Here is an 11,531-nt window from a genome sequence, read left to right as displayed (position 1 = left end):
CGTCCTGAAGGATGAATCTTAAGAGGCCCAGATCATCTTTTTCCAGGCCACAACTCAGTGGCCTTGGGAGAGGCTACCCTTAAGTCAGAGCGCACCCTGATCTAGCTAGTTACAGCTAAGAGGGGAGGAGGGGCAGATTCCTATGGGGGTGGTCTCTGGGAAGGTGACAAAAGATTGGCCTCTCATCTGACATCTTTTTCCTTATGGGAACAAAGGAGACAAAAGCCACTCTTCTGAGGCTTCAAAGACAGCCTTCTCACAATACTCTATCCAAAGGGAAGAGAAATGTCCTTTCTACAGGGCAGGTCAATTCAGTGGCAAGTCTAGAGGCTTCACAGGGAAACGGTCTCTGTATGGCAGCAGCTAGACTCAGACTTGAGGGTTTAAAAGGAGCGAGAGATGTGAATTCCCAGTCATCTGTGCCCTTGTGGAGATCTAGGCACAACAGCACAACATTCACAATAGATTCTTATTAGAGAGCTTCCTTTTGGTCTGATTCCAGCAGAAGGGTTTTGTAACTTGTATTGTTGAGTCCTCACTTTCCTGGGAGGAAGATGGAAAGGTTAGAGGAAAATGCTGGTCAAGAAAGGTCATAATTCCCTGGAGTTGTTGGATGTGACAAAGAAGCAGATATTTCAGTAGAAAGGGCACCAATTTGCCTGCTCCTTGCTCCCCACTTGGGAGACTTCAGGCCACTCTAGGATTCGGAGTTTTCCCTCCACATGGGACTGAGCAGGACTGAGCAGCGGGGCCAGGCCTGGAAGGACTTGGAGTCTGTGGAGGATGGATGGGGCAGGGTCCCCGCTTCCGGCTCCACAGCTAGCCTTGCCAGGAAGGCTTGGAGCTGCTCCCTGGCCTTGACCACCCCTGGGGAGCAACAAGCAAAAGGTTCTGAGCCAGGGCATCGGTGCTGCCGGAAGGCCCCCAGCATCCTGCCAGAACTGAATCTGACATGGCCACCCAACAGCCCACCTCCCCAAGGTTGGGGAAAGCAGCCTCAGAGATCACATTCATCAGCCTCAGAGACTACACTTTATTAGTATTGCTTTCATCATATTAACACAAGCAATAACAAGTGCTTTCAACATCCTAAACCACACATCTGGAAGCTGCACTAGGCAATACAGATATAAACCCTTCAAAGAACTGGCCACTTGTCCAGGCTTTAAGAGGCTCTGATGGATTTCAGGCCTGTCTCATTTGATCCTGAGCCCAGCCCCACGTCACCATGCTGCCCTGCCCATGCCCACGGTCATGACTGCCCAGGCACCAACCGAGCTCTGATGTTCTATCCAAACGTTGCCATCCCTAGAATCAATGGAAAAAAACAGGACTTGGAAAGCCCAGCCGGCTGCAGTGGGGGCTCGAGAGGACAGATGGGTAGAAGAGAGCTGCATCTATAGGCGCTGGCTTTCTGCCCCTCGTGGGGCCAGCCCAGCCTACTCCTGGAATAGCTCTGAGTCCGCCAGCAGAGGGCTGTCACCCTTGGGGCCTGCCGCAGGAGTGAAGCCACATTGACAGGCTCTGTGCACTCCCCCGACCCATGCTACTCATAGCTGGGGCGCTGTGAGCACATTAGCCAGCATCGCAGAGGCGGGCATATAACCCTCGCCTTGCTCACTGCACAGGGTGATTTTATCAGGACAAAATGGAAGAGCTATGTAAGTGGCTGGGTGCTGAAAAATGTAATGATGGCACTTGCTGAAATGCCATTTAACCTGGAGAACATATTTTATTAGCTGCAAAAGTGTAGTCTCCTCTAAGGAGTAAGGACAATGGAAATTCCAGGGCAAAAATGTAAAACAATAAATACTGGGCCAACAGCAAGCCAGTAAACGGCATTTCCCATTCCACTCCTTAAAAAGACTTGGCTGAGCCGCTGGGTGAACGTGGCCTCCCTGGCATTGGTCCTGGGGCCCACTGGCACAGTTCCCTTTGCTGACAGAGGCAGGTTCCCAGCCCTGATTCCTTCCCCACCACCCCCAAGGATGTCCACTGTCCCCAACCTCCCTCTTCCTCTCACACCTTCCATGCTAGGCGCCTGCCAGAAATGCCATCTGCCGACCTCAAAGTCTCACCTCATCCCTCCTCAAGCCGCACCCTGAGTGTCTCCCACTCCTCCAAAACTCAGCCCTGAGACCCGGTCCCAGGGGGTCCCTCTGGCTCAGATGTGCAAAACCTTAGGACGGGATTGCTGTCTTCCTCGGTGTGCCCCCAGAAGCAGACCCTGAGACAAGGATTCGGGTGCAAGTCGTTTATTCGGGAGCTGATTCCTGGAATCACGGAGAGGTGGTGAGGAAGACAGCCAGGGAAGGAGGAGAGCTGCTGAGGGCCACGCGAATGAGCTCTGGCCAGGGAGCCACCAAGAGTCAGTGTAGGATGCACCTCGGAATCATGCCACTAAGGGCATGGAGGCTGGAGTGGTAAGGAAGCTGGGGTATTTCCACTCAATCTGGGCTCTTATTGTTAGAGAGGTGCCTCTGGAAGGCATCGAACCCCTGAAACTTTCAGTCTAAGCTGTCCATGTGCAGATGATGTCAGAGAAAGCCCTCAGGGAGAGAGTCACAGGTCCTTGGTGAAGGAAGTCATCTGCCTGTACAGGAACTGTCCTCCAGTAGACCAACGGAAAGTGTGCTGGACATAAACAACACCACACTGACCAAGGCCCCAGAGGAGCTCTGGAGCTGGCAGCCAGGCGCTCAGTGCTCGCACAGGTGAAGGCCTGCAGGATTCAGAGTCGAAGATCTGAGTGGGAATCCTGGCTCTGTTCCAGAGCAAATCTTGAGCAACTTCCTTTCCCTCTAAGCCTCACCTTCTTTGTTGAAATGGGAAACTCATACTTTCTCCACAGGATTGCTGTGAGCCCTGAAGCCAAGATACCAGGTACTATTAGAAACTGGCTTTCAACCTTTCAGATAATGTCTTTTTGAAGTTACAAGTTGAATGCTTCCCATTCTTGCCAAGAATTACTCATATTTCTGACTAACATTACTAATGCCAAAGCAATAATGCTGGGAGTGGGGAGTCTGAAGTTGAGAATTAGTCTTGGAAGTCATATTTTACATAAGCATTATTCCACGTTATCCTGCAAAGAACTGGCCACCAGAGAGCCTGGTACTAAAGTGCGTAGCAGCATGATACGTCAGTTCAGGTAGTGCCCACAGTTATCAGTAAATTAGCTGATTCTGTCTCACCTTACTGTTCTGAACATATGATTTTTGCCCATCTCAAAATGGGCAAAATTACATTGCGATTAGTGGGGAAAATGACTGATTTTGCCATTATAAAATTCTTTTGGCAACAAAGATTTCTCTTTAGAGGAAAATGGCTATATTTAGAATAAATAAGCCAACAGGTTGAAAATACAATTTGCTAATAATTGATAGGCAGTATACTATTGAATGGAGAAAAGTAATTAAAAATATACATACATATATACATACACAGAAACATATATACAGAGAGAGCACGTGTGTGTGTGTGTGTGTGTGTGTGTGTGTGTGTATTCAGCCCTGGCTGGGAAAATGTTACAGGTTGGGTTCTCCAGAAACAGATAATGAAGCAGAATTTCGGGTGCAAAATTTTATTAGGGCTCAACACCTGTGAAGGAAGGAGGGAGCGAGTAGAATGGGAAAGAAGTTGAATGGCAACAAGGTCTTGGCCAGTCTAGCAGGAACTCTGGAGTGGATATTGTCCTGCAGAGCAAATGAGATGGCTGTGCTTTCACACCCCTGCCTCTCTGTGACAGGATGCAAGCTGCCACCAGAAGAGCATGACCTAGTGCAAGGCAGCTCTTTGAGCAAGGCAGCTCTTTGCAGGGAGGCGGCCCTTTGCAACAAGGCAGGCCCTGAAAGAGCCGATAGCTGGGGGCTGGCTGCTGACCAAGCTTTCAGTGGATGGGCAGCAAGTCCTTTAGAGGAAGGGGATCTAGGCTGTGCATCCCTGCGTCTATAAAGGCATTAACTCTTGGTCATTTTATTTCAACAGCTTCTTTTGGCTGACCATAACTCATCCTGGAGTTTCCCTCCCACCTCCCTCTGCTGCCCCCCACCATTTCTCTTGGTTTACTTTCGATCCTCCTTGCTAAACCAAAAGCAAATAAGGTAGGAGAGTGAAAAAGAAAAGAACTATTCCAGTCTGTTCTTTCACCTCTCAGCTCTGGATATGGCTGTCTGCAAATATTCACAGCACCAGTGACCTCCATTCCCTCAAGCTAAGCTCCATCTTCCTGCCTCTGTGCCCTCATCCAAACTAATATTCTCCTGGAATAACCCTTCTACTCTGCTTCTATTTCTATTTATCCTTCAAGGCCTTTTTAAGTCTCACCTCTGTGAAAAACGAAAATCTCTTCATGGGCCCTATTCTCATTGTTTATAACCTACATTCGAGCATTTTAGGCAATATTTAACTACACATTTTCTTAAATCCCAGTCTGGAGTGTAGTGGTGCAATCTCAGCTCACCGCCACCTCTGCCTCCTGGGTTCATGAGATTCTCCTGCCTCAGCCTCCCCAGTAGCTGGGATTACAGGTGCGTGCCACCACACCCAGCTAATTATTGTATTTTTAGTAGAGACAGAGTTTCACCATGCTGGCCAGGCTGGTCTCAAACTCCTGACCTCAGGTGATCTGCCCACCTCGGCCTCCCAAAGTGTTGAGATTACAGGTATGAGTCACCGCGTCCAGCCGCAAAAATTAATAATTGAGGAGTAGGATGTGCACCTTTTGTATTCCCTTTAGTACCTGGATAGTATGGGTGCCTGATATGTACTTATGAATTTTTACATTGAATCAAAAGAAATTGCTTTTAGAAGGAACGCTCAAAATGTAAAGTGATTACATTCCAACCATATGCAACACTTCTAATTGCTGCGGTTTCCACTTGAATGATCATGAAATGATCTGGAGAAGCAACATGTGGAAATTTAAATCCATTCATTTATCAACAGCAAAACAGCTATTTCCAACTTTTTTTTTTTTTTTTTTTTTTTTGAGATAGAGTCTTGCTCTGTTGGCCAGGCTAGAGGGCAGTGGTACAATCTCAGCTCACTGCAAACTCCGTCTCCCAGGCTCAAGCAATTCTCCTGCCACAGCCTCCTGAGTAGCTGGGATTCCAGGCGTATGCCACCATGCCCAGCTAATTTTTTTTTTCTTAATTTTTAGTAGAGACGGGGTTTCACCATGTTGGCTAGGCTGGTCTCGAACTCCTGACCTCAGGTAATCTGCCCGCCTCGGCCTCCCAAAGTGTTGGAATTACAAGTGTGAGCCACCACGCCCGGCCTATTTCCAGCTTTTTAACAAGGACTGAATCAGGGCTTCTAGACTCATGCTGCAAAGGTAGAAGGATTTAATGGATCAAAATGAGAATTCATGGCTCTTGAATTGTTAACCTCTGATATCTCTTACTTCATTCAAAGCGTCAGCAGCTCCTGAAATCTAATTTTAGGTTCTACAAGGTGCATCAAATAAAGAAAGTGTAATAAGCATATTTAAGACAATTTAAACTCATTTAAAACTGATGGCTCCCTAGACCAGTGATTCATCAGATGTAGCCTGGGGACTCCAGGGGGCGCTAAGATCTTTTCAGGAGGACTGTGAGGTCGAAACTATTTTACAATAATATGAAGACATCATTTGTTTTTCTTACTTTCATCCTTTCTCAAGAATATGGTAGAGCTTCCAGAGGCTACATGACATAGGATACTTTGTTCTGGCAACAAGTGCTTTTTGTATTCTTGTGTTTTTTAGAATTTTCTAAGGTGGTAGATTTAGAATATATATATGTGCATTTTCGGAGATTAACTCAGTTTGTTCTTAATACTTTCACTGCAGTATCTATCTTTCATTATACCTGCTATAATTTCTGTGACCTCATTATTGTCCAATGTATTGTTGCTTTGAAATCCCGAATTTCCCTTGCATCTATTTGAAAACTCAACAACAAATAATATACTGTGTTGTTTTGCAATATTTTAAATTTTTTTCAAAACTTCATAAGTTTTAAAAAATTCATCTAAAACTGTTATTGCTTTAGAGTTCAATATTCTAAAATAAAGAGAAAAGTTATTTATACAATATTTTTCTTATCATTAAGGATAGATCACTGGCTTAAAAACAAAAGATGAGAAGGCTTGCTTTCTCAATTCCCACATGTAGCATCTACATATAAGATGCTGACATACCTGAACCTGAAATATCAGAGTTCCCTGACTCATGGAAGGGCGGATCAACTTCAAAAAAAAAAAAAACTGGATGAAGAAATGAAAACACAATGAAAGATATCTTCCCCTCCCTTTGTGGATGCTAATAATTCCCCTTATTGTGTCTTATGCAACAAAACAATTTCAGATTGTCATTTTGAGACTGATAAGAGTATAAAGGAAAAATATTTTTAATGTACACAATATGAGCTTTTTAAAAGCTAAATATTTCTTCATGTTTTCAAACTAGAAATGAAAAAGACACCAAAGCATCCTACAGGGTGAGTTATCATATTGCATTGGCTGGAAAAGTACATATACTAGCTGAATGACAAAGCCTTACACAGTTGACGTTGCTCAATGCCTGCTGAAGGACAAGTTAGTAAAAGAAACCAGTGCCACTTCCCCAAAACATGGTACCTTGTCAAATTTCGGATTTCACTATAAACATGAAGACTAATATACCATCTGCAGAATTGCACTTGTACTTTCAAAATGGACACATCTACAGATATGACTGTATTTGTTATTTTTCTTATTTTTGTTCTTATCAGCCCCACTTAATGATTGAAGATATTACATAAATGCTTGGCAACAAACACATGTGCTGAAATAGTCAAAGTGTTGAATAACTTTTTGAATCTTATGATTTATCCTGATACAACTGTGTTGAAATGTGCATGGATGGTGCAAAAGCAATTGTCAGCAAAAGTCATGCCTTAGCATCAATGAAATCAGTATACTAGGAGTTAACTGTTACTGCTATGGCCTGGCAAAAGCAAAAGCAAGCCAGCTTCACTCAAGAATATCCTGGGGCCAGGCATGATGGTTCATGCCTGTAAACCCAGCACTTTGGGAGGCCAAGGCTGGAGGACTGCTTGAGGCCGGGAGTTTCAGACCAACGTGGGTAACATGGCGAGACTCTGTCTCTGCAAAAAATTTCAAAAATTAACCAGGCTTGGTGGCGCACACCTGTAGCCCCGGTTACTCAGGAAACTGAGGCTGATCATGCCACTGCACTCCAACCACTCTGTGTCAAGAAAAACAATAGACAGTATTTGTTGCTAATGATAAAATCTGAGTTTTCAACCAAAAATTGGAATTTGGGGGAAATTTGTATCCAATATTATGAGTTTCCCAGTACTTAAGGATGAGATCAGTGGTGCTATTAATAAATAGGACTTAAAAAAATATTGTATACTGAAATGACTGAAAATTTGGGAGAACTGTGTGACTCAGTGAACCAGTATTTTCTAAATGACCAATGCAATGCATGATGCTACAAAATCCACTCAGAGAACAAGATAGACCAGTGCATTTTAATGTAATACATTTTCACAGTTCAGTGATAGGGTTTCAGATTCTACTTTGCAACTGGCCTTTAAGAAACTATGATTTGTCAAGTTTTGCTCTAATATCACTGAAGAATACCCACAATTATTTGAAAAGGCTATCAAAATACGCCTCTCATTTTCCAACTACATATATATGTGAAGCCACATTTTCTTCATATTCTTTAACCAAAGCAATGTATTGGAACAAATTGAATGCAGAGGCAGATAAGAATATCCAGCTGTCTTCTATTGAGTCAGATGTGTGTGTGTGTGTTTGTGTGTGTGTGTGTGTGTGTGACAGTGTCTCTGTTGACCAGGCTGGAGTGCAATGGTGCAATCATGGCTCACTGCAGCCTCAACCTCCCAGGCTCAAGCAATCCTCCCACTTCAGCCTCCTAAGTAGCAGCTGGGACTACAGCCTCATGCTACCATGCCCAGCTAATTTTTTAATTTTTTGTAGAGACTGGGTCTTGCCATGTTGCCCAGGCTGGTCTCCAACTTCTGGGCTCAAGTGATCCTCCCATTTCAGCTTCCCAAAGTGCTGGGATTACAGGCATAGGCCACTGTGCCCAGCCTAAGCCAGATATTAAAGGGATGTGCAAAGATTAAAACAATGCTGTTTTTCTCATTTGTTTTACAAAATGGTTATTTTCCAAAAACATGTTATTTGTGTTAATGTATGTTGGGCTTATTGTTATTTATAACCAAATATATATTTCTAATTTGTGTTTTAATTTTTAATATGATAAATATTGGTAGGTAAATCCACAAATAAAAGTGTTTTGGGGTCATCGATAATTTTATGGCATGTAATGGGGTCTTGAAACCAAAGAGTTTGAGAAGCACTGTTCTAAACTGATGGGAACCTAGGGTATGTTGAGAAGTGGGCTCAAGTGACTTGAGGTGTGTATCAGTTAGAGGAAAGAAGTGAGTCCTCCTAATTCCAGAAAGAGACAAGAGAAAAAAGGCACAGGCCAAAGACCACGTAACTGCCACACCTGAATGTGTTTCTTGTTACAAATGGTGGGGACTAGAGCAGAGCTTTCAAGGGTTGGGCCAAGTTCTTTCTTGGAGGAGTCATTTACTGGACATAGAGGTGGCAAGCATGAGATATCCTTTTCCTGAGATGTGAGGTTCAGAAATTCCAGATGGATGATATTTTTTTAGCCACTTAATATATTTAACCAAAAAATTCAAATTAAGTATATTTTGGGCCATTAGATTTTATCCTTTCACTTGATAGCAGAATAAAATTACCACAGAATCAAAGACTATATAAAGTTTTTAAACCTAAAAGAACTAGTCACCCAAAGAGCCAGAGAATCAGAGATAAAGAGATTAAGATTATTTACTTCTTTCCTCAAAATTTTTCTGATTTGATTGTGTAACTCACATGACATTGGTTTTCTTTCTTGTTGTTGTTTTGAGATGGAGTCTCAGTCTGTCACCCAGGCTGGAGTGCAGTGGTGTGGTCTCGGCTCTCTGCAACCTCTGCCTCCCGGGTTCAAGGGATTGTCCTACCCCAGTCTCCCAAGTAGCTGGGATGACGGGCACACGCCACTATGCCTGGCTACTTTTTGTATTTTTAGTAGAGACGGGGTTTCACAAGGCTGGTCTTGAACTCCTGACCTCAGGTGATCTGCCCACCTAGGCCTCCCAAAGTGCTGGGATTACAGACGTGAACCACCACAACTGGCCTTTTTTTTTTTTTGAGTCGGAGTCTCACTTTGTCACCCGGGCTGGAGTGCAGTGGCGCGATCTTGGCTCACTGCAACTTCTGCCTCCCAGGTTTGAGCAATTCTCCCACCTCAGCCTCCCAAGTAGCTGGGACTACAGGCGTGCACCACCATGCCTGGCTAATTTTTGTATTTTTAGTAGAGACAGGGTTTCGCTATGTTGGCCAGGCTGGTCTTGAACTCCTGACCTCAAGTGATCTGCCGGCCTCAGCCTCCCTAAATTTGGGATTACAAGCATAAGCCCAGGAAGAAATACGTGCCTCTGCATGGAATAGCATGCACCTGTGACACACCAGGACCTAAGGACAAACATGCACTAGAAGTCACAAACCATTAAAATCAAAAGACCACTTTGTTTCACTTGATCTGTGTTTGGGTGTTTGGAGGCATTTCTTATAAGTGTAATATAGTTTTCAGGACATCCTGTTAGAAGCCTCTCCATCTAGGTCCTAAGGACAATATTCCAATACTCTAAACATGCTGCCTTAGAGAATGAAAGCATGATTCTGGTATCCATCCGGTGTAAACAGAAACATCCAGGAGTGACAGCTATGTGGACTTTTACCTATGTCCCACTGTCTCTTGTCTTTTTGGGGGGAAAACTTTGTTAATAGGTAGAACTACTTTTCTTCATTTCCTGATACACAACAGTTCCCACTTCTCAACAAATGGTAGGCATTTCAAAGTAAAACAGATCTTCTAACTTCTAGCAGTTATAGAATCAAAGGATGTGAATCCCATTTCTTATGGTTTAAAGGGGGTATATAACCAGTAGAATGAAGTAATAAGGCCTAAAAAGGTTGGGTCTCAATTTCAAAATTAATAAGGTCAGAAAAGACTTTTAACTATAAGGTAGTCAGGTGATTGAATCTAGAGTTAGAATAAAAGAATAAAGCATTACTTTTTTTTTTAAATTTTTTGCAACAGAGTCTCACTGTTATCCAGGCTGGAGTACAGTGGCACAATCTCAGCTCACTGCAGCCTCTGCCTCCCAGGTTCAAGGATTCTCCTGCCTCAACCTCCTAAGTAGCTGGGATTACAGGCACGTACCACCACGCCCAGCTAATTTTTTTGTATTTTTAGTAGGGGTGGGGTTTCCGCGTGTTGGCCAGGCTGGTCTTGAACTCCTGACCTCAAGTGATTTGGCCTCCCAAAGTGCTGGGATTATAGGCGTGAGCCACTGCACCCAGCCAAAGCATTACTTTTAATTAAAATTTTTGACATGAGGCAAGGTAAAACTAGCAGATAATATTATCTTATTCTTTCAATTATTTTGAATTGAAGCGATTTAGTTTTAGGGCAAAAGACCATGTTTTATGCCTTTAAAATATTTATACAGTAGATAATTAAATATTACTTTTGAAAATTAATTCATTTTTCAACAAATATTTACTGAGGGCCTACCATAAGCCGAGCACTGGGCTGGGCTCTCAGGATGCAGCAAGGGCCAGGACGGTAAGGTCCCTGCCTTCAAGGAGCTCCCAGGAACAACTAGCAAGTGTGTAAAAGGAAGGAGGGACCAACAGAAATTAGATGAAAAGGGACACTTGGGAATCTTCCCAGAAATTTCTGTTGTAAAAGGAAGCACACTGGTTTTCAAAGTCTTAGGCAGCAGCTGAAGACAATGTAGATTTCCCACAGATGACACACCTGTGATGATTAGTATTAGTGGGAGAAGATGGTACAAGAGCTCTTATGGCTACTGTAGCCATGCCCCAGGTCATGTCGTGTGTGTGTGTGTGTGTGTGTGTGTGTGTGTGTTTCCTGGTCCTATACACATAGCCAAGGTTACAAAATAGGATGGTGCATTTGGAGAAAAAAAATCAATGAAACTTTTATTTTTATGTGTATTGCTACATTTCTACCAGGATGTAAAAGCATAAACTAAATTTATAATAACTATATTTCTATTGATTCCAAAGATAAATTCTTTCACTTGATGGAAAACTAAAACATTTTATGAGTATTAAAATAAAAATTTGAATAGAATTATGGTTTGCTTTTATACTATCTGCTTCCTAGTAATTTTCTGGGTAAGATGTTTCATAGATGTTTTTTTTTCCTATGAAGATTTGGAGATAATGTTTCAACATTTTGCCTCCATCCTTCAATAAAACTCCACAGTAAACCAATAGTATATAGGAGAATTACCTGCTGAATATATATTTTAGCCAAGGCTTAGGCAGAAAAAAGAAAGACTGCAATTTTCATCAGGACCCTTGGATTCCAGGACTGCATTTCCACGAATGGACTAGCATGCATA

At 43.1% G+C, this 11,531-nt stretch overlaps 1 annotated feature.

The window, feature by feature from the left end:
• Positions 443–737: a silencer, noted in NCBI's record as "tiled region #14701; HepG2 Repressive non-DNase unmatched - State 19:H4K20". NCBI's record gives its function as "represses a minimal TATA promoter and a strong SV40 promoter by Sharpr-MPRA in HepG2 cells {active_cell/tissue: HepG2}" and the evidence as "EXISTENCE:reporter gene assay evidence [ECO:0000049][PMID:27701403]".

The sequence above is a fragment of the Homo sapiens genome, chromosome 2 (genome assembly GCF_000001405.40).
Source record: "Homo sapiens chromosome 2, GRCh38.p14 Primary Assembly".
Lineage (NCBI taxonomy): Eukaryota > Metazoa > Chordata > Mammalia > Primates > Hominidae > Homo > Homo sapiens.
This window is presented reverse-complemented; position numbering and strand designations above follow the sequence as displayed.